This window comes from Homo sapiens, chromosome 16, assembly GCF_000001405.40.
Source record: "Homo sapiens chromosome 16, GRCh38.p14 Primary Assembly".
Taxonomy (NCBI): domain Eukaryota; kingdom Metazoa; phylum Chordata; class Mammalia; order Primates; family Hominidae; genus Homo; species Homo sapiens.
In genome coordinates this window covers 67,954,940-67,982,440 of record NC_000016.10, presented here as the reverse complement: position 1 = coordinate 67,982,440, position 27,501 = coordinate 67,954,940, and the positions used below count along the sequence as shown (strand labels likewise).

At 54.4% G+C, this 27,501-nt stretch overlaps 2 protein-coding genes across 7 annotated transcripts in view, besides 7 other annotated features; both read left to right on the top strand.

Annotated features, from left to right (window-relative positions):
- The first annotated feature begins 1,941 nt into the window (after positions 1-1,941).
- DPEP3 (dipeptidase 3) lies at positions 1,942-6,778 on the top strand. Of its 2 annotated transcripts, none has more exons than NM_001129758.2 (10): positions 1,942-2,347; positions 2,676-2,802; positions 3,815-3,944; positions 4,033-4,174; positions 4,434-4,503; positions 4,612-4,788; positions 5,090-5,171; positions 5,666-5,741; positions 6,213-6,348; positions 6,440-6,778. In NM_001129758.2, exons 1-10 carry the CDS (start codon positions 2,061-2,063, stop codon positions 6,674-6,676), a joined length of 1,464 nt encoding a protein of 487 aa, NP_001123230.2. In that variant the 5' UTR covers positions 1,942-2,060; the 3' UTR covers positions 6,677-6,778. The 2 variants fall into 2 exon arrangements, with proteins under 2 accessions (NP_001123230.2, NP_001357127.1); NM_001370198.1 differs by having other exon boundaries at positions 5,087-5,171.
- Positions 2,118-2,618: an enhancer, noted in NCBI's record as "H3K4me1 hESC enhancer chr16:68013726-68014226 (GRCh37/hg19 assembly coordinates)". NCBI's record gives its function as "activates a minimal SCP1, AML or CMV promoter by ChIP-STARR-seq in primed H9 embryonic stem cells {active_cell/tissue: H9 hESC(primed)}" and the evidence as "EXISTENCE:reporter gene assay evidence [ECO:0000049][PMID:30033119]".
- Positions 13,552-13,881: a silencer, noted in NCBI's record as "silent region_7635". NCBI's record gives its function as "represses an Ori minimal core promoter by ATAC-STARR-seq in GM12878 lymphoblastoid cells {active_cell/tissue: GM12878}" and the evidence as "EXISTENCE:reporter gene assay evidence [ECO:0000049][PMID:35858748]".
- SLC12A4 (solute carrier family 12 member 4) overlaps positions 13,747-27,501 on the top strand; it is a 25,221-nt gene continuing 11,466 nt past the window's right edge. For 2 of the 5 annotated variants that reach the window (NM_001145961.2, NM_005072.5), the window contains exons 1-5: positions 13,804-14,002; positions 18,882-18,976; positions 20,735-20,866; positions 24,397-24,543; positions 24,645-24,699. In NM_001145961.2, coding sequence (NP_001139433.1) covers positions 13,888-14,002; positions 18,882-18,976; positions 20,735-20,866; positions 24,397-24,543; positions 24,645-24,699 — 544 coding nt within the window. In that variant the 5' untranslated portion in view covers positions 13,804-13,887. Of the gene's footprint in view, positions 14,003-15,646; positions 15,689-18,388; positions 18,511-18,881; positions 18,977-20,734; positions 20,867-24,396; positions 24,544-24,644; positions 24,700-27,501 lie in introns of those variants that run through there. The other 3 variants (NM_001145964.2, NM_001145963.2, NM_001145962.1) reach the window with 3 other exon arrangements.
- Positions 14,012-14,341: a silencer, noted in NCBI's record as "silent region_7634". NCBI's record gives its function as "represses an Ori minimal core promoter by ATAC-STARR-seq in GM12878 lymphoblastoid cells {active_cell/tissue: GM12878}" and the evidence as "EXISTENCE:reporter gene assay evidence [ECO:0000049][PMID:35858748]".
- Positions 14,852-14,911: a silencer, noted in NCBI's record as "silent region_7633". NCBI's record gives its function as "represses an Ori minimal core promoter by ATAC-STARR-seq in GM12878 lymphoblastoid cells {active_cell/tissue: GM12878}" and the evidence as "EXISTENCE:reporter gene assay evidence [ECO:0000049][PMID:35858748]".
- Positions 15,670-16,188: an enhancer, noted in NCBI's record as "H3K4me1 hESC enhancer chr16:68000156-68000674 (GRCh37/hg19 assembly coordinates)". NCBI's record gives its function as "activates a minimal SCP1, AML or CMV promoter by ChIP-STARR-seq in naive H9 embryonic stem cells {active_cell/tissue: H9 hESC(naive)}" and the evidence as "EXISTENCE:reporter gene assay evidence [ECO:0000049][PMID:30033119]".
- Positions 17,234-17,405: a silencer, noted in NCBI's record as "fragment chr16:67998939-67999110 (GRCh37/hg19 assembly coordinates)". NCBI's record gives its function as "represses an EF-1alpha promoter that drives an FKBP-Casp9 reporter gene in an ReSE screen in phorbol 12-myristate 13-acetate-treated (for megakaryocytic differentiation) K562 erythroleukemia cells {active_cell/tissue: K562(+PMA)}" and the evidence as "EXISTENCE:reporter gene assay evidence [ECO:0000049][PMID:32094911]".
- Positions 22,167-23,366: an enhancer, noted in NCBI's record as "CDK7 strongly-dependent group 2 enhancer chr16:67992978-67994177 (GRCh37/hg19 assembly coordinates)". NCBI's record gives its function as "activates an origin of replication core promoter dependent on BRD2, BRD4, P300/CBP, MED14 and CDK7 cofactors, with strong dependence on CDK7, by STARR-seq in HCT116 cells {active_cell/tissue: HCT116}" and the evidence as "EXISTENCE:reporter gene assay evidence [ECO:0000049][PMID:35650434]".

The following is a 27,501-nucleotide window of genomic DNA, read 5'->3' as shown; positions in this document are numbered from 1 at the left end:
CAGCGAGAAGTCGAGCACAGCAGCTGCTGGCCCAGGTGCTAAGCTCCTCACTGCCCGGGCCGGCTGGCCGCTCCGAGTGCGGGGCTTGCCAAGCCCACGCCCACCCGGAACTCGAGCTGGCCCGCAAGCGCAGCCTGCAGCCACGGTTCCCGCCCACGCCTCTCTCTCCACACCTACCCGCAAGCTGAGGGAGCCGGCTCCAGCCTTGTCCAGCCCAGAAAGGGGCTCCCACAGTGCAGCGACGGGCTGAAGGGCTCCTCAAACGCGGCCAGAGTGGGCGCCAAGGCCGAGGAGGTGCCGAGAGGGAGCGAGGGCTGTGAGGGCTGCCAGCACGCTGTCACCTCTCATTTTTGTGTCTGTATACTAACATATATATAGAAAAAAATATTCGGCCCGGTGCGGTGGCTCACGCCTGTAATCCCGGAACTTTGGGAGGCCAAGGTGGGCGGATCACGAGGTCAGGAGATCAAGACCATCCTGGCTAACACGGTGAAACCCGGTCTCTACTAAAAATACAAAAAATTAGCTGGGCATGGTGGTGGGCGCCTGTAGTCCCAGCTACTCGGGAGGCTGAGGCAGGAGACTGGCATGAACCCGGGAGGCGGAGCTTGCAGTGAGCAGAGATGGAGCCACTGCACTCCAGCCTGGGTGGCACAGTGAGACTCCGTCTCAAAAAAAAAACCACGTCTCTAAAAAAGAAATAAGGCCGGACGTGGTGGCTCATGCCTGTAATCCTAGCACTTTGGGAGACCTAGGTGGGCAGATCGCTTGAGCTCAGGAGTTCAAGACCAGTCTGGGCAACATGGTAAAACCCTGTCTCTAAAAAAAAATGCAAATATACAAAAATTAGCTGGGCATGGTGGTGCATGCCTGTAGTCCCTCCCAGCTACTTAGGGAGCTGAAGCAGGAGGATCACTTTTACCTGGGAGGTCGAGGCTACAGTGAGCTGAGATGGTGCCACTGCACTCCAGTGAGACCCTGTCTCAAAAAAAAATTTGTTTTAATAAAATAAAAAATAACAATTAGCCATGCATGGTGGCACTGCACCTATAGTCTCAGCTACTTGGGAGGTGGAGGAAGGAGGATCGCTTGAGCTCAGAAGTTCAAGGCTGCAGCAAGCTATGATCAAGGCTGCAGCAAGCTATGATCACCCCACTGCAACTCCAGCCTGGGTGACAGATACTCTGTCTCTTGGAGAAGGAAAAAAAGCTAAAATAATGATCCCCAACAAAAATTGTTCTTAAATTTCATTTTCGGGGCCGGGCACGGTGGCTCACGCCTGTAATCCCAGCACTTTGGGAGGTCGAGGCAGGAGGATCACTTGAGGTCAGGAGTTCAAGGCCAGCCTGGCCAACATGGTAAAACCCCATCTCTACTGAAAATACAAAAATTAGCTGGGCATGGTGGCGGGCACCTGTAATCCCAGCTACTCGGGAGGCTGAGGCAGGAAAATGGCTTGAACCCGGGACGTGGAGGTTGCAGTGAGCCGAGACTGCATCATTGCACTCCAGCCTGGGCAACAAGACCCAAACTCCGTCTCAAAACTGAAATGAGATGAAATGAAATAATGAAATGAAATGAAATGAAATGAAATGAAATGAAATACCTATAGGGAATCTTTCTGTCCATCAAACCAGACAGACCGAATTAACTCTTCTGAGTCGCAGCTTAGAATATTTGACCTGCCTAGGAGCTGGGCACAAGCCGGCAGCTAACCGCCACGTGGGCCTGGGTAGGAGGTGAGATCAGGAAGATCCCTGGGCCCCTACTAGTTCCCTGCCTGGCCTCCTCCCCCACTCGTGTGGGGGTCTACGGAGCCAGCGCTGGGGGTGGAAGGGCGAGGAGTCCTCGACGCTGCAGCGGCGGTTCCGGCCCATGGGGGCGCTCTCCTGCTTGGGGGCGGAAAAGCCGTGGCGCCCCCTTGCGTGGCGCGTCGGTCTCAGAGTCGCGTGACTTCAACCCCCTCTTCGGGAGGCTGGGTCGTCATGATCCGGACCCCATTGTCGGCCTCTGCCCATCGCCTGCTCCTCCCAGGCTCCCGCGGCCGACCCCCGCGCAACATGCAGCCCACGGGCCGCGAGGGTTCCCGCGCGCTCAGCCGGCGGTATCTGCGGCGTCTGCTGCTCCTGCTACTGCTGCTGCTGCTGCGGCAGCCCGTAACCCGCGCGGAGACCACGCCGGGCGCCCCCAGAGCCCTCTCCACGCTGGGCTCCCCCAGCCTCTTCACCACGCCGGGTGTCCCCAGCGCCCTCACTACCCCAGGCCTCACTACGCCAGGCACCCCCAAAACCCTGGACCTTCGGGGTCGCGCGCAGGCCCTGATGCGGAGTTTCCCACTCGTGGACGGGTATGTAGGTGCAGCGTTTGGGCAACGCGGGGTGAGCACACCCTTGGGCAGGAGAGGAGGTTCTGAGCATGCTATCAAGGAGGCTATCAAGGAGGCTCCCTCACACCACCCCTGGATGCCCTCTCTCCTCCATCACCCATGGGTGCCCTTCCCCGCATTACTCCATTCCTGGTGGAATCTAACCCCCTCCCTCCAACCCAACCTCAGGAGGTCTCTATATGGTCTGTGTGAGGAGGTGCCTGGTGGGGTGGAGGAGGGTAGACCCAAGCACCTGATATATCCTGACTGATCTGGAGGCGGTGTTTCCATCTGACCTTCACACCCCCAGCCACAATGACCTGCCCCAGGTCCTGAGACAGCGTTACAAGAATGTGCTTCAGGATGTTAACCTGCGAAATTTCAGCCATGGTCAGACCAGCCTGGACAGGCTTAGAGACGGCCTCGTGGGTGCCCAGGTACCACAGGGACACACAGGGTGCCACAGCATGGCTGCTGGGGGATGTTGGGGTCACAGAAACCTGGGTCAGCCAGCCTCTGGGTGACTAAATACAATGGGGCATGCAGTGTGCCATCATGTGGTTTCTAAGGAGAGTGGGGCCTTGGAGGCCAAGACAGGCTAGCTGCATGTATGCCCAGGTTCTGTGGAAACACGCAGAAAATGACCAGAAAATCCCTGGTGAGTGTGGGGTCTGCCGTAACCACAAAGGACATAGTGGATTGGCCTTGGGGCATTCACATAGCACATGGACTAACAGCAGTTTTTTGCTTGTTTGTTTGTTTGCATTTTTGAGACAGTGTCTCCTTCTGTCGCCCAGGCTGGAGTACAGTGGCACGATCTCGGTTCACTGCAACCTCCGCCTCCCGGGTTCAAGCAATTCTCCCTGCCTCAGCCTCCTGAGTAGCTGGGATTACAGGCACTCGCCACCACGCCCTGCTAATTTTTGTAGTTTTAGTAGAGACAGGGTTTTACCATGTTGGCCAGGCTGGTCTCGAACTCCTGACCTCACATGATCCACCCTCCTCGGCCTCCCACAGTGTGGAGATTACAGGCATGAGCCACTTGGCCTGGCCGTAACAGTAATTTATGATGTGTCGTGAGTCCATCATTTGACTGCTGGCAGCAAACAGTCATCAAGGAACCAGGCTCGGTAGTTCACATCTGTAATGCCAACACTTTGGGAGGCTGAGGCAGGAGGATTGTTTGAGCCTGGGGGGTCAAGGCTGCAGTGAGCCATGATCACACCACTGCACTCTAGCCTGGGTGACAGAGCAAGACCCTGTCTCAAATTTTAAAATAAAAATAAAAAATAATTTTAAAAAAAGTCATCAAGGTACCATGGAGTCATGTAGTGCCTCACTTGGGGCCACTGACCCAAATGGGTGTTATGGGGTCTGAGGCAGGAGTGGCAGGCCTAGGGGGTTGAAGACCGCCCTGGCCTCATTCTGGACCCCTTGACCTACCCTCAGTTCTGGTCAGCCTCCGTCTCATGCCAGTCCCAGGACCAGACTGCCGTGCGCCTCGCCCTGGAGCAGATTGACCTCATTCACCGCATGTGTGCCTCCTACTCTGAACTCGAGCTTGTGACCTCAGCTGAAGGTGGGCCAGCAGATGAGAGGTAGTCAGGATGTCACTCTGGAGGTTCTGTTCCTGGGATCTAACCACTTGACTCTCTACCTCCTTCTAGGTCTGAACAGCTCTCAAAAGCTGGCCTGCCTCATTGGCGTGGAGGGTGGTCACTCACTGGACAGCAGCCTCTCTGTGCTGCGCAGTTTCTATGTGCTGGGGGTGCGCTACCTGACACTTACCTTCACCTGCAGTACACCATGGTGAGCATAACACCTGGCCAGGATGCTAGATGGCATGGTGTGGAAACTGCCCCATTCCTGGCATGGGTGTGACCAAGCCGTTGAGGATGAAGGGGTCCGCAGAGGGAGGCTGGACACCCAGTGGGTCCCTCACAATCCCAGAAAGCAGCTGGTTCTGCACCTGTTCTGGAAGCAGGATGGATGGATAGAGCCAGGGCCCCCAGGCTGTGATGGCCCAAGGTGTGATCAGCTAAATTGCCCTTCCATGGCTGTCCTGCAGGGCAGAGAGTTCCACCAAGTTCAGACACCACATGTACACCAACGTCAGCGGATTGACAAGCTTTGGTGAGGTGAGGACTCCTGTTTTGTACCCCAACCCACCTGCTGCCTACGGATATGTGTGTACACCTTTGCACCCCAACACCCTCCCCCACAAAAAAACCTAATTGTTTCTGCAGAAAGTAGTAGAGGAGTTGAACCGCCTGGGCATGATGATAGATTTGTCCTATGCATCGGACACCTTGATAAGAAGGGTCCTGGAAGTGTCTCAGGCTCCTGTGATCTTCTCCCACTCAGCTGCCAGAGCTGTGTGTGACAATTTGTTGAATGTTCCCGATGATATCCTGCAGCTTCTGGTGAGTGGCCATCCCAGCTCTCAAACTAGGCATGTGTTATCCAAAGGTTCTTGACCCTGAGCACAAAGCCACCAGCCCAGGTTTCACACACCCTTGGACCAAAGGCTGGTTAATCCTCCTCCATCCCTGAAACTTAAGGCCAAGTAATTTCCACTCAGGGACCCACAAACGCAGAGAGGTGAAGCCTCTTCCAACCCCTGAAGCCAGGATGGAGCACAGTCCTACCAGGGCCCCCACAGCACAGGAGGCATGTTCTCAGGCCAGAAGGGCTGAGATGAGTATCCCTTTATCCCTCTAGAAGAAGAACGGTGGCATCGTGATGGTGACACTGTCCATGGGGGTGCTGCAGTGCAACCTGCTTGCTAACGTGTCCACTGTGGCAGGTAAGTCCCACCTCAGCTTTGTGCAGTGCTGGCTTGGGCTGTGGCTGCCAGGGCCCTCAGGACGACTCTAGCAGTCTAGTGCACCTGTTGGGCAATGGGCAGACCTCCCAACGACCCAGAGGCAGCAGACACAGCTCTTCAGTGCCACCCAGATCTGGAGCCACAGAGTCAGTGCTGATGTGTTTGATGCCTCCTGGTTTTGCTCCCAATCCTTGAACTTCTCTCATTCCCCACATCTCTGGGCAGGACAGGCTCAGCCTGCACCAGGCTCTCAAGGAACCCAGAGGCAGGGTGGCTCCTGGGCAGGAAAAGTCCCAAAGGGGTGGCTCCAAGGTCCACTCTAGGTCCAGTGACCAGCCTGTACCCGCTTCAGGACTCATGACTGGCCATGAGCTAGCTCTGTGGAGCCAACTGCCACAGCCTGGAGTGCTGGGGACAGGGCTGGTGCCAGGGTCTAACTAGCCTAGTGCTGCCCACCCTCACCTCCACCCTAGATCACTTTGACCACATCAGGGCAGTCATTGGATCTGAGTTCATCGGGATTGGTGGAAATTATGACGGGACTGGCCGGTGAGTGCTTCCCTGAGGTTTCTCTTAGGCTGGGGTGCAGCAGGGAGTCCTTTAGTCTTCATTCCCATCCTGACGTCCTCCCATCCAGGCCTCAGCCACAGGCTCTGGTCTCCTATCCCACCTGACACTCCCCACTCTCAGGGCCTGTTTCCTAGTTTCTCCCTGTCCCTTCAGTGGCCCAGTGGCCCCACTCCAAGTTGTCATACTTGCTAAATACTCCCCTCCGCAGGCAGGGCTCATCTGTCCAAGATATGCTCCACTCCCAGCCTAGCAGACCTGCTGTGGGCTGACCATCTGCTCAGCAGGTGGAGGCTACAGAAGCCCAGTCCTCCAGGAGCCTCCAAGGTTGCATTCACTAGCCTGAAGAACTTGGCCTTCAGTTTCCCCTGTGTGACTAGGGCTGGTGGGCAGCGGGCCCCAACCCAGGATCAGGGCTAAGGTCCCACAGCTGGCTGGTGGGTGGCCACACAGGTTCCCTCAGGGGCTGGAGGATGTGTCCACATACCCAGTCCTGATAGAGGAGTTGCTGAGTCGTAGCTGGAGCGAGGAAGAGCTTCAAGGTGTCCTTCGTGGAAACCTGCTGCGGGTCTTCAGACAAGTGGAAAAGGTAAGCTGGGCTGGTGGACAGGATGGTTCAGTGGTTTGAGAAGGGGAGGGGATTGCTGTGGGAGCCTCTGACTGCGGACTTCCTCCCCCAGGTGAGAGAGGAGAGCAGGGCGCAGAGCCCCGTGGAGGCTGAGTTTCCATATGGGCAACTGAGCACATCCTGCCACTCCCACCTCGTGCCTCAGAATGGACACCAGGCTACTCATCTGGAGGTGACCAAGCAGCCAACCAATCGGGTCCCCTGGAGGTCCTCAAATGCCTCCCCATACCTTGTTCCAGGCCTTGTGGCTGCTGCCACCATCCCAACCTTCACCCAGTGGCTCTGCTGACACAGTCGGTCCCCGCAGAGGTCACTGTGGCAAAGCCTCACAAAGCCCCCTCTCCTAGTTCATTCACAAGCATATGCTGAGAATAAACATGTTACACATGGAGCCAGGTGCACATGTCCTTCCTTCTCCCTAGCGGGATTGGGGGCAGGTGGGCTCTTGGTCAGTGAGGGATCTTGTGGTCTAGCCACAGCTGCTCAAGGTGGGTGGTTCCCACTCACCTCCAGCTTTGACTGTCTCAGGAAGGCCAGAGGCATCTTATGAAATTCTTAAGCTAAAAGCTTGAGCCCACAGAAGTACACAAAAACGTTCAGTTTCAGTCCCTTCGTGGAGTGTGACAGTGGGGTGCTTCCCAGTTTCTCTTCGAAAGGTTAAATTTTTTTTTAGAAGCTGATACTGTTTATAGAGTAAATAATAACTCGGCTGGGTGCGGTGGCTCACGCCTGTAATCCCAGAACTTTGGGAGGGCGAGGCGGGCAGATCACGAAGTCAGGGGATCGAGACCATTCTGGCTAACATGGTGAAACCCTGTCTCTACTAAAAATACAAAAAATTAGCCAGGCGTGGTGACACATGCCTGTAGTCCCAGCTACTCGGGAGGCTGAGGCAGGAGAATTGCTTGAACTCAGGAGGTAGAGGTTGCAGTGAGCAGAGCTCGCACCACTGCACTCCAACCTGGGCGAAAGAGCGAGACTTGGTTCTCCTCCGTCCCCCAAAAAAAGAATAACTTGTTTGGAATTATCTGGAGAGTGCCTTTGTAAAAGATTTCTCAGATTAGGTCCTCTGATTTTTTTAAAAAACTAATTTTTAAATGGAGGGGATGCAGAATCACCAAATCTTTAAAAAAATTTTGAAAAGAAATAAAAGGAAACTCATGGGGTCTGTATGGCTCACTCGAGTGGCCTCTGTCTTTGGCTGCTTTCCTCTCCAGTTGAGCCAGAGCCAGATCTAAGTTCCTTCCATGGGAACTTGGAATTGGGAAAAAGAATGACTCCAGTGCCACCTATGTTATAAACAAGGGTCTATATATGTCTGGGTCTCTTCCATTTATTTGGACTATTTGTTTATCATATCAATACCACACTGTCTTAATTATGGCAACTTTAAAATAAGTTTTGAGGCCGGGCACAGTGGCTCATGCCTGTAATCCCAGCACTTTGTGAGGGCAAGGCACGCAGATCACTTCAGGTCAGGAGTTTGAGACCAGCCTGGCCAACTCAGGAGGTTGAGACGTGAGAATTGCTTGAACCTAGGAGGAGGACGTTTCAGTGAACCGAGATCACACTACTGCACTCCAGCGTGGGCAACAGAGTGAAACTGTGTCTCATAAAATATAAAATAAATGGCCAGGCGCAGTGGCTCACACCTGTAATCCCAGCACTTTGGGAGGCCGAGGCAGGTGGATCACGAGGTCAGGAGATTGAGACCATCCTGACTAACACGGTGAAACCACGTCTTTACTAAAAACAAAAAATTAGCCCAGTGTGGTGGTGAGCGCCTGTAGTCCCAGCTATTCAGGAGGCTGAAGCAGGAGAATTTCCTGAACCTAGGCGGAGCTTGCAGTGAGCCGAGATCACGCCACTGCATTCAAGCCTGGGCGACAGAGTGAGACTCCGTCTCAAAAATAAATAAAATAAAATAAATAGTTTTTAATTGGGCACAGAGTGGCTCATGCCTGAAATCCCAGCACTTTGGGAGGCTGAGGCAGGAGGATTGCTTGAACCCAGCATTTCGAGACCAACCTGAGCAATTTAGTGAGACCTCATCTCTGAAAAAAAAAAAAAATTTAATTAGCCAAGTGTGGTGGCCCGTGCCTTTGATCCCAGCTACTTGGGAGGCTGAGGTGGGAGGATCACTTGAGCCTGGGAAGCAGAAGTTGTCATGAGCTGAGATCGTGCTGCTACACTCCAGCCTGGGCAACAGAGTGAGACCCTGTCTCAAAAAAAAAAAAAGCAAAGAAATATTTCATATCTGATGCTGTACTTAGCAGTATTAGTTTATCCTTATAATTTCAGCAATTTGTTTTTATTGAAGTGTAATTCATATGCCATAAAATTAACCATTTTATTTATTTATTTATTTTATTTATTTATTTTTTTTTTTGAGACGGAGTCTGGCTCTGTCACCCAGGCTGGAGTGCAGTGGCGCAATCTCGGCTCGCTGTGAACTCCGCCTCCCGGGTTCATGCCATTCTCCTGCCTCAGCCTCCTGAGTAGCTGGGACTACAGGCGCCTGCCACCACGCCCGGCTAATTTTTTGTATTTTTAGTAGAGACCGGGTTTCACCATGTTAGCCAGGATGGTCTCAATCTCCTGACCTCGTGATCCGCCCACCTCAGCCTCCCAAAGTGCTGGGATCACAGGTGTGAGCCACCGCGCCCAGCTAAAATTAACCATTTTAAAGTAAGCAGCTCAGTGGCTTTAGTACATTCACAATGTTGTGCAGCCACCACTTCTATCTAGTTCCAAAACATTTTCATCTTAACAGGAAACCCTACACCCACCCTATACCCATGAAGCAGTTAACCCCCTTATGCTTTTTTTTTTTTTTTCTTTGAGATGGAGTCTTGCTCTTGTCGCCCAGGCTGGAGTGCAATGGCCAGATCTCAGCTCACTGCAACCTCCGCCTGCCAGGTTCCAGTGATTCTCCTGCCTTAGTCTCCCAAGTAGCTGGGATTACAGGCACGCGCCACCACACCCAGCAAATTTTTGTATTTTTAGTAGAGATGAGGTTTCACCATGTTGGCCAGGCTGGTCTCAAACTCCTGACCTCAGGTGATCCTCCCCCCTTGGCCTCCCAAAGTGCTGGGATTACAGGCATGAGCCACTCCGCCCACCAGAGACCCTGTCTTTAAAAAAAAATGAAAGAAAAAGAACAAGCAGAAATGTAAGACCCAGGCATGGTAGTGTGTGCCTGTAGTCCCAGGCACCCACCCTATACCCATTAAGCAGTTAACCACCACATGCTTTTTTCTGTTTTTTGAGACGGAGTTTTGCTCTTGTTGCCCGGGCTGGAGTGCAATGGTGCGATCTTGACTCACTGCAACCTCCACCTCCTAGGTTCAAGCAATTCTCCTGCCTCAGCCTCCCAAGTAGCTGGGATTACAGGTGCCTGCCATCACGCCCAACTAATTTTTGTATTTTTAGTAGAAACGAGGTTTCACCATGTTGGTCAGGATGGTCTTGAACTCCTGACCTCAGGTGATCCAACCACCTTGACCTCCCAAAGTGCTAGGATTACAGGCATGAGCCATGGTGCCTGGCCTGCTTTTTTTTTTTTTTTTTTTGAGACGGAGTCCTGCTCAGTCGCCCAGGCTGGAGTACAGTGGCATGATCTCAGCTCACTGCAACCTCCGCCTCCCAGGTTTAAGCAATTCTTGTGCCTCAGCCTCCGGAGTAGCTGGAATTACAGACATGTGCCACCACACCTGGCTAATTTTTCTTTTTCAGACAGAGTCTCGCTCTGTCTCCCAGGCTGGAATGCAGTGGCCCGATCTTGGCTCACTGCAACCTCCATCTCCTGGGTTCAAGTGATTATCCTGCCTCAGCCTCCTAGATAGCTGGGACTACAGGCACATGCCACCACGCCAGGCTAATTGTTTTATTTTATTTATTTATTTATTTTATTTATTTATTTTTATTATTATTATTTTGAGATGGAGTCTTGTTCTGTCGCCCAGGCTGGAGTGCAGTTGCCCAGGCAACTTGCACTGTTGCCCAGGCTGGAGTGCAGTGGTGCCATCTCAGCTCACTGCAACTTCCACCTCCCAGGTTTAAGCAATTCTCCCACCTCAGCCTCCCAAGTAGCTGGGATTACAGGTGCTTGCCACCACACCCATCCAAATTTTGTATTTTTAGTAGGGATGGGGTTTCACCATGTTGACCAGGCTGGTCTCGAACTCCTGACCTCAGGTGATCTGCCTGCCTCGGCCTCCCAAAGTGCTGGGATTATAGGTGGGAGCCACCACTCCCAACTGAATTTTGAATTTTCGATCTAGATATTCTAGATATTCCTGATTTATGGTTTTTTTTTTTTGAGACAGAGTCTCACTCTGTCGCCCAGGCTGGAGTGCCAGTGGCGCCATCTCCGCTCACCGCAAGCTCCACCTCCCGGGTACACGCCATTCTCCTGCCTCAGCCTTCCCAGTAGCTGGGACTACAGGCGCCCGCCACCACACCCAGCTAATTTTTTTATATTTTTAGTAGAGACGGGGTTTCACCGTGTTAGGCAGGATAGTCTCGATCTCCTGACCTCGTGATCTGCCCACCTCAGCCTTCCAAAGGGCTGGGATTACAGGCGTGAGCCACCGCGCCCGGCCTAATGTCTATGCTCCTCAAATGTCTTTTGAGTTTGGCCTGTGAGGTTATTTTTCCTGTGATGGCTGTGATATTGGAGAAGATGTGTACTGGCCTCGGAGTTCCCCATCGTCCCCTCTGTGTTTGTCAGTTGGGCTCTAGTGGCCTATCTCCCTGGCACAACACCCCACCCTACCCCTGAGGCTGCAGGGTGTGCAGTGCCAGGGTGGGAGCTATACGGAAACTTTGCAGAGCAAAGAGGTAGACTAAGAGGGCACCTGTTCATTCTTTATTTGAAAAATGTGTTGGGACCGGGAGCAGTGGCTCACGACTGTAATCCTAGCACTTTAGGAGAGGCCAAGGTGGGAGGATCGCTGAGCCCAGGAGTTTGAGACCAGCCTGTGCAGCAAAGTGAGACCCTGTCTCTATGAGAAATGAATAAATAAAATTAGCTGGGCATGGTGGCATCTTAGCTACTTGGGAGGCTGAGGGGAGAGGATCATTTGAGGAGTTTGAGGCTGCAGTGAGCTGTGATTGCACCACTGCACTCCAGCCCAAAGTGACAGAGCAAGACCCTCTCTCTAAATTAAAACAAACAAACAAACACCTCTAAGATCTTAAAAAAAAAAAATGTGTTGGGGCCAGCCAGGTTTTGAGGATACCAGAGTGACAAGACCGACAGGGTCCTGCCCTTGCAAAGTCCACAGTATAGATAGAATCTTAATCAGTGATTTCCACCAATCCATTTCTGCCTGCAATGGGAACTATGAAGGGAAAGGCTCAGGGCAGCCCAGTCCAGATGAGGGGTGGGGTGGGGTGGCAGGGCATGTGTCTGAGAAATCTGAGGGGAGGTGGTGCTCCCCACCAAGACCTCCTGGATCAGGAGGTTTTTTGTTTGTTTGTTTGTTTTTGAGATAGAGTCTTGCTCTGTTGCCCAGGCTGGAGTGCAATGGCACTATCTCGGCTCACTGCAACCTCTGCCTCCGTGGTTCAAGTGATTCTCCTGCCTCAGCCTCCCGAGTAGCTGGGATTACAGGCACCTGCCACCACACCCAGCTAATTTTTGTATTTTTATTAGAGACGGGGTTTCACCATGCTGGCCAGGCTGGTCTCGAACTCCCAGCCTCAGGCGATCCACCCGCCTTGGCCTCCCAAAGTTCTGGGATTACAGGCTTGAGCCACCAGGCCGGCCTTGGAGGTTTTTTGTCTGTTTGAGACAGTGTTTCGCTCTTGCTGGAGTGCAATGGCGCCATCTCGGTTCACTGAAACCTCTGCCTCCCGGGTTCAAGTGATTCTCCTGCCTCAGCCTCCCAACTAGCTGGGATTACAAGCACCCGCCACCACGCCCAGCTAATTTTTTTGTATTTTTAGTAGAGACGGGGTTTCACTATTTGACCACGCTGGTCTCAAACTCCTGACCTCAGGTGATCCTCCCGCCTCAGCCTCCCAAAGTGTTGGGATTACCGGCGTGAGCCACCGCGCCAGGCCTGGATCAGGAATTTGATAAGTGAGGGTAGGGACAGAGGCTAGGTAGATGTCCCCCAGAGTGAACAGTGGGTGATGCCCAGAAACTATAGGTCTCAGGTGAGAGAGAGAGATTTGAAGGGCTGAGGCTGCGAGGTGGGTGGCGAGGGATGCGCCTGCAGAGGTCGGGGTCCGGCCGCATTGGGCAGGGCCTTATGGGCCCGGAGCTAGTAGGATTTTCCTTCAGAAGAGGCGGCTCTACGTGAGCAGGGGCGAGGGCAGGGAGTCCAGTAGGAAGGCCGCTACTGTGGGCGGCCGAAGGTGGCGTGAGGGGCGGGGGGGTCAGGTCGGCGGGCCCGCTGCGGGGGCCCTGGGGGAGGGGTCAGAGGGTGGTAAGCTCGGGGGTCGTCTTGCGGGGCCCAGCGGCTCTGATTCCGTACCCCCCACCCCAAGGGCTGGAGGCTGGCAGTAGGCGTAGTCAGAGGACGCCACCCGAGCCACGCGAGGGAGAAGAGTGGAGATAGACAAGTAAGATGGGCTCTGGGGTTTTCTGATAGAGAAAAAAATAGTAAAGCCAGCTAGATAAGTAATCTGAAGCAGTGGAGAAGAAAGTGAAAGAAACGTTAAAAGCAAATAAGTAAACGGCTTGGATAGAGGAACACCCAGGAGGCGAGATAGAGAAAGTTAAAATGAAGGGACTTGGCTACAGCACCCAGTGCACTGTCCCAAAAAGGCAAGCGAGGCAAGCGGGGCGGGGAAGGGTGGGTGTGCGTGTTCTTCCTGCGGAGGACGCAGCAGCCCCTGGGGAGGGACCGAGAATCCCCAGCTGCCTCCAACAGGAGAGGCTGCAGCTAGAGGGCCCAGGGCTGGGACGGGACCTTCGCGGGGGTCTGGTTCCCAGGGTCGCGGAGAAATGGGATGCAGACGCTGGAAATGGGAAGGAGGTATACGGGGTTGGTGGGAGGCCCTGGGCAGGTGGCTTCTGCAGTCCTGGGCCGGTCCGGCCTACCCTGCCCCGTCCCTAAGTAACAGAGCGCTTCGTAAGCCCAGGGCGCAGAGCCAGGACACTCCGCGACCCATCTCACGGAGCCCTAAAACAACCCCGAGGTGGAAGTGTGTTTCCCCCATTTTACAAATGTTGCATCTGGGGCTCAGAGAGGGCGGCCTCTCACCCGAGGTCACACAGGAATCGGGCCCGCCCCCAGGCCGTGGAGCCACTAGGAGTGCTCCCGCCCAGGGGTCTTCCCGCCACCAGGGCCCCCGCTCTGGGAGGAGCCGGCCGAGCCCCTCCCGCTCTCCGCCCCCGAGGGGCGGCCCGGGGGGCGGGCGGAGGAAGTGAGCGCAGCGGGGAGGAATGCGAGCGGGCGGGGCGTGTCGGCCCGGGGCGGCGGGGACAGCGGCGGGGACAGCGGCGGGCGGCTGGGACGGCGGGTGCGGCGGGGCCGAGCCCGCACGATGCCTCACTTCACCGTGGTGCCAGTGGACGGGCCGAGGCGCGGCGACTATGACAACCTCGAGGGGCTCAGTTGGGTGGACTACGGGGAGCGCGCCGAGCTGGATGACTCGGACGGTGAGGGCGCGTTCTGAGGGGCCGTGGCGGGGCAGCGGGGCCTGCCACCCGGGGCCGCCATCCCGGGCCCGCGCCCGCACCTATCCCGGGACCTTGCGCGCACACGTCGGTGCGGACTCAACTTTTTTTGGACCGCGCCGCTGCCACTGGCTCCCCGCCCTGCGCGCGCAGACACGATTTTCCTCGGCCCCCGGCGCCCGCGCCCGGCCGCTTTCTCCACCCCAGCTCCTCCCCTGTGGGCCCCGGGCGGGGGCTGCAGACGTGGCCGCCCAGGGAGGCCAGCCGGCCGGGCCGCCCGGCTTGGGGACAGGGCCGAGACCCCATCTCAGGCCCTTCCCGGCCCTTCAACTTCGGTGAATCCCACATCCTTTTCTCGCCTCGGTTCCTCATTTGAGATTCAGCGTCTTTGCCTTTGAGACGATCCGCTCCCCAACTGCCCAAACCCCTCCGTGTGCCTCTCTGCGCCTACCTGCACTCTGGCCAGAGTGTGCCTACTGGGGGGTCTATGGGTAACTGCCCGTGAGTGCGCCGGTGTAGATCTGTAGGGACAGTGGGCCTCAGTGAAGCACTCACATGGAGCCGGACGTGTCTAGGCACTTGAAGTGAGTTAACTCGTTTAATCCTCCAGCATCACCCTTGGGATAAGTACTGTTACTCTCATTAGGAAGCAGTGAAGGGAGGGGTGGCGGTTATATAACTTGCCCAGGGGCAGTCAAGCCTGGGTTTGAGATTCCAGCACCTTAACTCTTTAACTTAGGTGCCAGGGCCGAGAGGTAAGCCCCATCTCCCTCCTCCTTCCTCCCAGGTGCCCGCGTCTCTCCACAGCCCTTTCTCTATCTCCTACCCCAGGAGGCCCCCCAGAGGGCTGTTCTTGTTAAGGCCCACCCTCGGAGCACGAACACGGCTGAGGACATGTGTCTGTGTACGTAGTGGCATATGCATGTGTAATTGTGCTTGTACAAGTGTGTAGCTGTGGGTATCACAGGGTGAAGGCTGGTTCAGGTCAGGGCATTCTCACAGCCCCTGTTTCCTGCAGGGTTGACAGTGATGAGGATGGTGATTTGACTGATGATAAATGCCTGTGATATCTGTGACCGATCATGATGGAGATATGTAGGAAGTGTGTGGTTGACACGTGTCAGGTGACGTTGTCTGGACCTCTGATCCATCTGTGATGGTGACACGACTGAGATGATCCATGCCCAATGTGAATGATGGCTATGTGTGTGTATCACTTGACTGCCATGTGCAGAGGTAGCACAGGACAGTGGCATGGGCTGCTGGACATTGCAGAGGTTTTACAGGCTTGACAGCTGTGTGAGTGCCCCAGCCTCCATGCCCTTGTCTGCCCCTAGCTTGATTCAAGTGGTCAAAGCAAAAGCCAGCATTCCTGCTTCCCTAACCCTGGGAGGACCTCTCTCCCCAGAGGGTAGACTGGGCTGCATCCCCAGGATCAGCCTGGACCAGTGGGCAGGCAGAGCTGAGCCTAGCTGCTGGCCCCACCTTGGCCACGCCTTGGCCCCTACAGGGTGACTGGAGGGACCTGGAGCTACATTGGCTGAGTCCTGCTAGATCCCCGCAAGCTAGGCCAGCTCCTCCCACTGCCTCCCTTCCTCTTTCTCCTCCTCTTACTCCTTTCCAGCCAGACCTTGGCTGTCTACAGGATGGGGGACACCCTGAGCCCCGGTGAGTGATTTTGATCCTTGGTGGGGACTGCAAAGGGTCAGAGGGCACAAAGCACAGTGAGCCTCAGATCTATCTCCTGCCCCTTCCCCAGTTCAGTGCCCACACCTCTGCTCTGGGAGGCCTAGATGGGCTTGCTCATCCAGCCCACCTTGGCCTGTGGGCAGGGGGTAGGGAGGTGCTGGAGGGGGCACCTCAGGCAGATGTCCGTGTACACAGGGATCAGGAGGGTCACCTGGATCCCCACCTGCCACTGGTGCAGTCACAGTTGCTGGTGGGAACACAGTTGTGTAGCTCACAGGCAGTCCCTAGGCCTAGGCCATATTCAGATTTACTGGGGATCTCAGGTGGTGTCTGAGCAGCTTCAGCCTGGCAGGCATGTCCAGACCTGCCCTGGAATTTTTGGAATGGCTGAGGCCAGAACAGGAGGTCTGAAGCCGAGGGCAGTACAGACATCCAGGCACTACTTAGACCCTTACATTCCCACAAGCCCTTGGGAGCTTTGGGGGAACTCCGAGGAGTGCCCACTGGGCGTCTGGCACTAACTGTCCCTTTTCTAGTGCATCTGGGCAGTTGGAAAAACAAGTGTTACAATCTCCACTTCATAGAAGAGGAAACCAAGGCCGCACAGGGAGTAAGCATGTCTCCCTGGGTCACACGGGGGAAGGTCTGGGAATCCAAGCCAGTCTGCCGCAGTCTGAATGCCCAGAGGCCTAGGTATGCGTACCCTGGCCAAATTGCAGCACTCTTCTCTATTTTTAAAGATTGTGCTGCATAGATGGACTGGAGTCTGTAGTAGGAACGGAACCTGCAGCTCCGCCCCTACAGGGCTCTGATGGACCCTGGGACCCAGATGTGGCCTTCTCCCTGGGTGACCTTGCCTCTGAACATCTTTGAGCTTCACTCTCCTTGTCCCTAAAAGGTAGTAAATGCTCTCTACTGGAATGTTGCTGTGAGAACTAGAGACAACTTTTGGAAGGGCCCCGAGCCATCCTAGAGTGATAGCTGAAGGGACAAGGGATAGGCTAGGTCTTAGAGGACCATTTACAGGCATTTGTGGGGAGCTGCTGTGTGCTCAGCTGTATATTTTCTGGATAGCAATACAGTCTACCCAGAAAGACCAGGCAACAGTGATGGGGCAGGCTGTAGTACATGAGTTTAGAATAAATTATAATTGATTTCCAGCCTACTTCCACAAAAGAATCAGAAGAAATAGCCAACAAAAGTGTCTCCCCAAGTGATTGTTACTCTCAGGAAGATTGAAAACCATGCAGAGGAAGGGGGCAAGCACTCAGGTGAGACAGATGGTGACTTTATCTAAAGAGTAAATTTAGCTTGGAGATTCCTGGCAGCCAAAGCAGAAAGAGAAGTAAGACGAGCTGTATAACTGGCATTTTCTGACAAAATGAAGCACCTGATTTATCAAAGGGAGACACTTTTTTTGTCACAAAAATCCAAAAGTAATTTTCAAAGGCTTTTCACTGAAGAGCCATTAATGTCATTAATGTAAGAGGCAGAGTGTTACTGGGTTTTCAGATTTTTCTTGGGACTCCTTCTGATCCTGAACAAGCATGGAGGGTACAGCAGATATCATAGAGTGTCCGACATGACCCCGCCTGGCTTTAACATGACACGGTGGACTGTCTTGACCTCTGGCTGCCTTTGTCCACTGTGCCATTGGCATTGACCTATGTGAATGTGGGGCTGAGCTGCTTGGCTCACTTAGCTAGTCCAGGTTGCTGGGTGTAGCAGGTGTGCCACTTTCACATGCTGTGGGAAGGAAGAACTGACTTTGCCCCAGAAACTGTCATGGGCACACTTGATTTGTTAGTTTCCTTGGGGGATAAAGAATCCACAGCACAGCACCTGCTGAGTGGTTGTTGGCTCAGAGAAAGCAATTGAAGCCTCATGCTGATAGCAAGAGATGTATCAGATACAGGAGGATGCCTCAATCAGCATTCTCAGCTGCAGTCAAGAAAAATGAATTGTGGCCTATGTAAACAGAAAAGGTTGGCGGGCATGGCCAGTGCATGGCCCAATCACACCACTAGCCTGGGCTGGTGGTGACAGTTCTGTTGCCATCTCCATCACTGGACACCATGCCAGTCCTTCTCATGTCAGAACTACATACTGCTGCCATCCAACACCAAGATGTGTGCTTTCCATTTGCTGTGAGGCCTTGAGCCAGGGCCGGGGCTGCGAGGGTAGCTGGGGTGGAGGGAACACTCAGCACCTAGAAAACGAGTGCTTGGCGTTCTGCTTGGTGGGAAGCTGGGAATGGCACCCACCGAGACTCATAAGGGACAAGAGTTGGAAAACAGGGAAGAATGAATGATAGGAGGCCAGAAAAAACAGTCGAGCTTTGGGAGTTGAGGCAGGCTTATTGAAAAGGAGCATTTCACTCCTTTTGGCGAGATTTCTCAGAGCTGGGGCACTGGCTCATCAGCCTAGGGCTGTAGGCGGAGGTTTGCCTGGGGCAAGCGGCGGGATCTGCGGGCAAGGGGGCCATTGTGTTGCTCCTGCCAGCAGTCCCAGCTCCCATTTTTCTCCCTGCTCAGTCCGACACCCACCCGTCCGACTTTCTTAGGCAACCCTAGAAGGCTCCTGGAATCCACTTCCGCTCTCCACGGCCTGGGGCTTGCCCCACCTCCCGGCATGCCCCGGGCTGCCCTGCAGGACGCCCCCCGCGCAGTGCATGGTGGGGTAGCCAGCCGGCCACCTTTGGGCCATGGCAGCCGAAGGTGCTGTGTGCGGCTTCGTCTATCTGGAGGGCACTGCCTGGGCGGTCCCTGAGGACACCGAACCCTTGGCATCCTGCACATTGGGTACTCCGGAAAGACCGGGAAAGGGACTGGGGCGTGGAGGCGATCTGGGGGCGGGTCAAACGCTGGCCCCGCCCCTCTGCAGGCCCCGTCCCTCAGTGTCCATACGTGCTTGTGCTAGGGCGCCTGCGCCCTCACCTGGATTCCCTTCACTGGAGGGAATGATGTCCCAGGTTTTGGTCACTGGCCTCTCTCTGGCTATCCCTGGGCCTTCAAGAGCATTGGCACGGTGCCATGTGAAAACTGAGTTGCAACCTGGTGACACTGCAGCTCCAAAGTGCTCCACAGAAATGATTTGGGGACTGGCTTTCTGGGAAGGGGCCCAGGCTGGGGGGCTCAGGAAGCAGGCCCTGATTGTCCCTCTCTCTTCACAGGACATGGCAACCACAGAGAGAGCAGCCCTTTTCTTTCCCCCTTGGAGGCTTCCAGAGGAATTGACTACTATGACAGGAACCTGGCACTGTTTGAGGTAGCTGAGGAGCCATTTTGGGCCACAGGTTTGGCACACAGAGGCTTTAGCTAAGCAGGCAGGCTGGACACGTGGGCCTCCTCTGTCTTGCTCTTCCTCTCATCTCCTCTTGTGTTCCTGGTTCTCATGGCAGCCGGGCTGCAGTTCCCTTGGCCCTTTCAACTGAAACTGCCTTTCCAGAGGCCACTCACAATCCCACCCCCATTGCTACCTCCAGGGTGGTTCACCTCTGACTTCCTTACAACCCCTCAGCAAGGAAACGCCCGCTTAGGATTTCCCAACTCAGGATTTCTCCTCTTCCTTCCACTCCTGGTTCTTCTCCAAGTCCATGGTTCTTCGCTCTCCCATGGATTCTTCCTTGTCTTTCTTGGTTGACCCTTCCAGCTCTGTCCCTCTCTAGTTCCCTGAGTCCTGGTCCATTTGCAGCTTTAGGGGATACGTCTCTGGAAAGATTCCCAAATATCTGCCTCTGTACTTGAGTTTTATCTTCTTCAGACTCAAGCTGAGCAGTGAGATCTGGATTTAAGACGTAGTTTAAGCTCCTAAACTCTGACCCATGCATTCAGCCACTGCATGGCTGAGTAATGGAGACTCCTTAATCTGCCTTTTTTTTCTCTTTCTTCATTTTGAGATGGAGTCTCACTCTGTCGCCCCAGGCTGGAGTGCAGTGACGCGATCTCAGCTCATTGCAACCTCTGCCTTCCAAGCTCAGCGATTCTCCTGCCTCAGCCTCCCGAGTAGCTGGGATTACAGGTGCCCACCACATGCCTGGCTAATTTTTGTGTTTTTAGAGACGGGGTTTCACCGTGTTGGCCAGGCTGGTCTTGAACTCCTGACTTCTAGTGATCCTCCTGCTCAGCCTCTCAAAGTGCTGGAATTACTGCTGTGAGCCACCACATCTGGCCGAGGCTCCTTAATCTCCACATGCCCCCAAGGGCCCTCGTCTTCCTTTCTCACACCAAAGCAACTTCTCCCTGTGTGTAGGTCAGAAAGGAGCTGACAGAGAGGGAAAAGCTAAATGTGGGCAGGAGGCAGGTAGAAGCACAGCCTCGAGAAGGCTGCAGGAGCAGGGATCATCGCCTAGACCCCGGTGGGGCTGGGGGACCTGAGCTCTGGGAGGCCTCCTGACCTGGGAAAGCAGCAAGGTTCTGCGGTGAAGGCCTTGGCCCAGCCCCGCCTGAGGATGGGCTGGAGGATCAGGATCCCATCTCCGCGATTGATGTGGGTACTTGCAGGACTGGGGTCAGGGGAAGACCATCCAGGGAGATCAGGGTTTGGGCAGACAAGGGAGACTTCACTTGTCCCAGACATCACTCTTTTGCCCTCTTTGGTTCCCTGAGGTGACTAGAGTGGCTTTTTTGTGGGGAGGGTAGGCGTGAGTCCTAGAGGTGCAGCCATAGCCAGGAGGTGGCTGGGCAGAGCAGGCAGGATGAAGTATGCCATTGCCCCCCTGCCAGCCGTGTTCTTCCCTGCCCTCTCTCCCCTGAGGCAGGTGGTTTTCACAAATGGGCTGGCAGTGATTGTAGCCAAGGCGGGGTAGAGAGAAGCAGCCGCGGGGCTGGGCCTTTGAGTGCCACGTGCTGGGGTGTGGTGTGCACACCTGTCCAGTTGGATGGCTTGGACTTCCCCAGGTAGGAACTGGGATCAGGCCCAGGCCTGTCTCAGGGCTTGGAACAGGGCCAGGGACCAGGCAGCTGGCTCCACACAGCTGGCACCCACCTGGCCCAATGCCATCTTGCCCTGTGGCTCTGTTTGCAGGAAGAGCTGGACATCCGCCCAAAGGTATCGTCTCTTCTGGGAAAGCTCGTCAGCTACACCAACCTCACCCAGGGCGCCAAAGAGCATGAGGAGGCCGAGAGTGGGGAGGGCACCCGCCGGAGGGCAGCCGAGGTGAGCTGGTTGGGGCGGCAGAGGGGCCACACCTGGGAAGACAGACACAGCACCATGGAATTGACTGTTTCCCCACATGGTGGTGAGCACACTGGGGGAAGTGGGTGCCAAGCATAGTGAGCAGGGAGGATGGGCACTGAATGCCTTGTCTCAGGAGGCTTTAAGAAGTGACCTAATGAGAATCCCCCCGGGGGGCAGAGGGCCAGGGAGCCCCTCAGGAATGACAGCAGGAGACACAGCTGCCTGTACTCAGCCTTTACTGTGTGCGAGGTACCACACCAGGCCTGGGTTCTCATATGTCATCTGTACAACAAAACCAAGAGGCAGGTGCTTACTATCATCCCCATTTTTCAGACAAGGAAATAGTGTCAGGGACATTAAGGAACTTGTCTAAGGTGACTGAGCTAGACAAGATCAATGTGTAATGCTGGGAGATGGATTCGTAGATTTTATGGGAGACAGATTTGTGGGATATGTAACTATGCAAAATGCCAGATCAGTGACATTGTGTGAGGCTGGCTAAGAGTGTTGCCCTTGGAGCCAGGAACCAGGTTGTCTCTCGGAGGTCATGCAATCCAGAGCAAGTCACAAACCCTCCTGCTGCTCGCAGTGTTGGCCCAAGGCTCTATTGGCAGAAGCCTCCAACAACCCCCTGGGTTCCTTGAGTGCCAGTGTCAGGGGACATGTGTATGTGATCGGAGCCTGATGCTGCCTTGTGGGGCTTTCCTGTCCCACTTTTTGGTCACTAATCCAGTTCTCTGGCCCTTCAGCCCTCTTCTCTTTGGGGTGACTGTTACCTCTTTGCCTAGCTCCTCTGTGTCATTGCGGCTCAGTGTAGCTGAGGGCTGGGGATTTTTCTACATTTTTCATTTGGAGGCTAGGGACCCTCCCTCTCCACACACTGACTCCCTGAGGTTTGGGAAGCAGTGGTGTTTTAAGAGGAGCTGACGTCTGGCACTGGCTGTAGTATTCTCAGAGGTCGGCACAAGCAGAAGGCGCTCCTGGCTGGGATAAGCCAGGCCTGCAGCCTCACACCTGGTCGTGAGATTTGGGCCTTTCTGGGGTGGGGCCAGCAGAGAAGGTAGACCCCACTGAAGCGCGTCTCTCACCTTGCCCTTCAGGGAGGCAAACCAGCCCACACTTCAGAGAGGGCAGCTGATACCTTGAGGTCGCACAGACCTGACCCTGACCCTGTGCAGCCAGGTGTGACTAGATAGCAGAGAACCCTAACTGCGTCTGGCCATGTCTGTCCAGCACTGCAGGGGTGTCTCAACCTCTGAGAGTGCTCTGCCCACAGTGGGTGACAGGATCCTTAGGTCAGAGCCTCATCCTTGTCCCTTCAGGCCAAGCCAGGGAGCTGGTGGCGGGGAGTGAAGAGGCCCCTGAGAACGGCTAGTGCACATCTCAGCAGGAATGTGGGAGGGATGCCTGGGCCAGAGAGAGCCCATCATCCCTTGGCCCAATGGGGAACCCGTGAGGATGCTTAGCTTAGCTATCCAGCTTACCTGGCCACAGGGTAAGGATGGGAGAGGGTGACTGGGTGTCTTAGCTGCAGTAGTTTTTTCATGGAAGAAGGAGGAGCTGGGTCAAGTCTTTAAGGAGTCAGTAGGAAGTTAGGGATCTGGGGCTGCTGAGCTGTGGTCCTCACCCAGGGCAGGCCCGAGCAGGGGCCTCGGAAAAGGAAGGCTTGAAGCAGGAAGGGTGGGCCTCCGACCAGACCATGCCAAGACCCAAAGCAGCCTCTCCCCAGCAGCTGCTCCAGCTCCAGCACCGGCTTGATGACCTTCTGAGGCTGCCAGAGGTTATTTGGGGATGCAGAAAGCATTTCCGGCCCACCCTGCCCTTTCCCACACTGTCCTTTTCTTAGAGTGACTCAGCCTGGGATGGGGGTGGGACTGGGAGCTCTTGCTGTCGCTATTCTGTGGGTGGCATCCTCTGAGAAGGGCTCAGACAAAGCCCAGATGAGGGGGATCCGTCCCCTGCACTGCTCCACGCAGGACAGGTTGAGGAGCCATTTGTTTTTGCTGAGGCTCTTCTGAAGTCCTTTAGGTCGCTCACAGGTCTTGCCCCAGGCCAGGACCCTTCAGGAGGGGCATTAAGGAACTTGTCTAAGGTGACTCAGCTAGACAAGATCATGGCCATGGAGTTCTCTTCTCCCTAGCTTCAGGGCAGCACGGGCACTGTCTCGTGGGTCTTCCCTGTCCCCTCTCCCCGTATGATTTTCACTAATCTAGTCCTTTGGATCAGTGAGGAGGCTTTGCTGGGGCTCCAGTGGAAGCTGTCAGGGCCACACTTCGGAGGCTGCACTCTTGGGGGCTCAGTGCCTCAAAAAGATGTCAGCCAGCCTCTGTGCTCTCAGCCTCTGCCCTGGCCTCCTGGCTGGCCCCTACTCTGCCCTGAGTTGAGAAAGCCTGCCTGGATTTGCGTATTAGATCTTCCTCACCTGCCCTACAGCCTGAGCACTTTCTCTGTAGGATTTTCCCAACAGGATGTCCCAGGGGCTTCCAAAGCACCACTCACTGGGTTCAGAAGCACCTTTTGGGTACCTGCAGGGCCTGCTGGTGATAGAACCATAAACAAGCCAAGCCTGCCCTAATATAGTAACAAAATATACAAGCACATTCTGTTACCATGACCTGTAGTGACCACTGTGATAGGGAGTATCAGATGCCAAAGGAATGTGAGAGGGAGAACCAACTCCACCTGAGGCAACCTTCGGACATCTTCCCGAGAGAGGTAACAGTTTCACTGAAGAGTTTGCCAGGCCGTGAGGCAGGGCCGACTCTCCCAGGCAGAGTCCAGCACATTCTCAGGTTCGCAGAATCTGAGGGACCCATGTGGTCAGGGGCTGGAGCTAATAAGAGAGGTGATGGGACACATCTGGTGGCCCAAGCCAAGGAGTTGGACGGCACACTGGATTACAAGACAACAGAGGGTTTTCAGCATGGGTGATGAGATTAGACTTGCTTTCAGAGACCTACTATAGCAGCAGAGTGGGCTGGAGTGTGGAGAGGTTGACAGGCTCAGGAGGGTACCACCCAGGTGCCCCAGGTTCAAGGGACTAAGGCTGGGACAAGGCAGGCTGATCTCAGGGCAGCAGGGAGACAGACTGGGTAGGAGTTAGTGTCTACCGGGACTAGAGTTGGGGGTTGAGAGGGAGGGCCAGGGATGACTTCTGGGACTTTGGCTTGGGTGACTTAGGGCCTGCTGGGTGAGAAGGTGGAGATCTGAGACAAACCTCTCTTTCTAGAAGTTTAACAGAAGAGAGGAAGGGAAGGAGGCAGTACCTTGAGAGAGAGTTAAGGTTCCAAAGTTCAATGTGGGTTTTTAAAAAGAATCAGGTTTTACACCTTCCCAGACTCAACTGTCTTCCTATATGAAAGTCAATAGAGACATCCTAGCTGTCACCCCTACTCTCTGTGTTCCCTGGGGCCCCACTGGGGGAGGGGGCCTGCTGAGTGACTAGGGCTGACTCTCCATGGTGCATCCCTCTGATGCTCTACTCGCCCCCTCCCTTTGTGTTCGCATAGGCACCCAGCATGGGCACCCTCATGGGGGTGTACCTGCCCTGCCTGCAGAATATCTTTGGGGTTATCCTCTTCCTGCGGCTGACCTGGATGGTGGGCACAGCAGGTGTGCTACAGGCCCTCCTCATCGTGCTTATCTGCTGCTGTTGTGTGAGTGTCCTGGCGTGGGAGGGTTGGGCTGGGCATGGGCCACGGCTGCCCCCACAGAGCCCACCCAGCTGAGCCGCTCACCCAGGCCCTCCTTCCCACAGACCCTGCTGACGGCCATCTCCATGAGTGCCATCGCCACCAACGGTGTGGTTCCAGGTCAGTGAGCGCCACCCAAGGCCTGGTGGAAGAGAAAAGGACCCAGTATCTGCCTTGACCTACCTGGGAACCCCCATAGCACACCCCTGCCCCAAGCAGTTCTGTAGTGGGCTCCCAATCCCTGATGCCAGGACAGTGCCCACGTAGGAGCTTTCCTGCTTGACAGAGTTGGAGAGTGCCATTGTGGTTTTTGTTAATATAAAAGCAATACCAAAAAAGAAAAAAAAAGGGCAATGTATGTTTACTGTAAGAGGGTTTGAAAGTGCAAAAAAAGGCCAGGCGCGGTGGCTCATGCCTGTAATCCCAGCACTTTGGGAGGCCGAGGTGGGTGGATCACAAGGGCAGGAGATCGAGACCATCCTGGCCAACACGGTGAAACCCCATCTCTACTAGAAATACAAAAAATTAGCCGGGCGTGGTGGCGGGCGCCTGTAGTCCCAGCTACTCGGGAGGCTGAGGCAGGAGAATGGCGTGAACCTGGCAGGCAGAGCTTGCGGTGAGCCGAGATTGCACCACTGCACTCCAGCCTGGGCGACAGAGCGAGACTCCGTCGCAAAAAAAAAAAAAAAAAATTAGCCAGGCATGGTGGTGGGCACTTGTAATTCCAGCTACTTGGGAGGCTGAGGCAGAGAATAGCTTGAACCCAGGAGGCAGAGGTTGCAGTAGTGAGCCAAGATCATGCCACTGCACTCCAGCTTGGGTGACAGAGCAAGACTCCATCTCCAAAATAAATAAATAAATAATAAAAAAGTGCAGAAAGGTATAGAATGGAAAATTAAAAGCACCCATAATCCCACCATCCTGAAATCACTACTGTTCGCCTTTTGGTATATATAAGTCTTAGGGTCTTATGAAGTATTGCACACGCACACTCTATTTACATAAATTGTATATATATATATATATATGTGTGTGTGTGTTTGTGTGTATTTCCCAAAAGTATATGTGTGTATATATACATATGCATTTATGTGTATATGTTTACGTGTGTATGTGTGTGTGTATGTTTCCCAAGTGTTGAAAACAGTTTTTTGATTTTGGTTTTTTGGGTTTTTTTTGAGACAGAGTCTCTCTCTGTCACCCAGGCTGGAGTGCAGTGGCATGATCTCAGCTCACTGCAACCTCCATTTCCCAGGTTTAAGCAATTCTAAGTGATTCTCATGCCTCAGCCTCCTGAGTAGCTGGGATTACAGGCGACCACCACATTTTTGTATTTTTAGTAGAGACGAGGTTTCACTATGTTGGCCAGGATGGTTTCGAACTCTTGACCTTAACTGATCCACCCACCTCTGCCTCTCAAAGTGCTGGGATTACGGGTGTGAGCCACTGCACCCTGCCGAAAATGGTTTTTTGAAAACAGGATTCTCCATGGTACACCATAACCTAATTAATGTGATTATTCTCCTGCCTGTGGGTTCCACTTTTTCACCATTGTATACATTGTTGTCATGAACATCCTTGAACATGAATCTTTGTTCATGCCCCAGCAGTTCCCTTAGGAGAGGGTCCTGGAGGTGGATTACGGCATGAAAAAGATTGACTTTTCGTTTATTTATTTATTTATTTATTTTGAGACGGAGTGTGTCGCCCAGGCTGGAGTGCAGTGGCACGATCTCAGCTCACTGCAATCTCCACCTCCCAGGTTCAAGCGATTCTCCTGCCTCAGCCGCCCGAGTAGCTGGGATTACAGACATGCACCACCATGCTCAGCTAATTTTTGTATTTTTAGTAGAGATGGGGTTTCACCATGTTGGCTAGGCTGGTCTCAAACTCCTGACCTCAAGTCATCTGCCTGCCTCAGCCTCCCAAAGTGCTGGGATTACAGGCGTGAGCCACTGTGCCCAGCTGACATTTTTTTTTTTTTGAGACGGAGTCTCACTCTGTCGCCAGGCTAGAGTGAAGTGGCATGATCTCGGCTCACTGCACCCTCTGCCTCCCAGGTTCAAACGATTCTCCTGCCTCAGCCTCCTGAGTAGCTGGGACTACAGGTGCACACCGCCACGCCTAGCTAATTTTGTATTTTAGTAGAGACGGGGTTTCATCGTGTTGCCCAGGCTGGTCACGAACTCCTGAGCTCAGGCAGTCCACCCATCTCAGCCTCCCAAAATGCTGGGATTACAGATGTGGGCCACTGCACCCGGCCTTTTTTTAAAAATGTATATTTTTATCATTTCCTTTTTTTAGTAGAGACGGGGTCTCGCCATGTTGCCCAGACTGGTCTGGAACTCCTGAGCTCAAGCAATCCACTCACCCCAGCCTCCCAAAATGCTGGGCTTACAGGCATGAGCCACCACGCCCAGCCAAGATTGACTCTTTGAAAGAATTTCTTGATCCCTGTTCCCAGATTTTCACCAGAGACATTGTCTCAGCAGCAGATACAACCAGCAACATGAGATGACTCTTGTCCCCCTGTGCTTGTCACCCTGGGGCCTGGTCATGACTCTCTGAGTCTTTTAAGGGTGTTAGACTTTGATAGAAGCACAGATTCAGGGCAGGGAGCCGTGGACACTCACCTGGTGGCAGGCACTGTGCGGGGCCTTAGGGCCAAAAGGCTGGATGAGACAGTCCCTCCTCTGGTCTGGAGGAGTCAGACTAACAAAGGCACAGGCCTCAGGAGGGTGAGGTGGGCTGAGATAGGACACACCCAGCCAGAGGAGGCTGTGGGCTGTGCACAGGGCATTGGAGGATGGTGGCCAGTCAGCCACTGCTGCAGACTAGAGCTGCTCCCGCAAAGCAGTTATTTCCACGGGCCGTGCTGGACATTCGAGTCAGATGGGGATAGGATCGAATGTCAGCCTAGAT

Excerpts from the sequence above, each read along its gene's own strand:
- DPEP3 (NM_001370198.1), top strand. The coding sequence starts at position 2,061 with ATGCAGCCCACGGGCCGCGAGGGTTCCCGCGCGCTCAGCCGGCGGTAT. Across the intron at positions 5,172-5,665 it reads TAACGTGTCCACTGTGGCAG|ATCACTTTGACCACATCAGG; the intron begins GTAAGTCCCACC and ends CCTCCACCCTAG. Across the intron at positions 6,349-6,439 it reads TCTTCAGACAAGTGGAAAAG|GTGAGAGAGGAGAGCAGGGC; the intron begins GTAAGCTGGGCT and ends TTCCTCCCCCAG.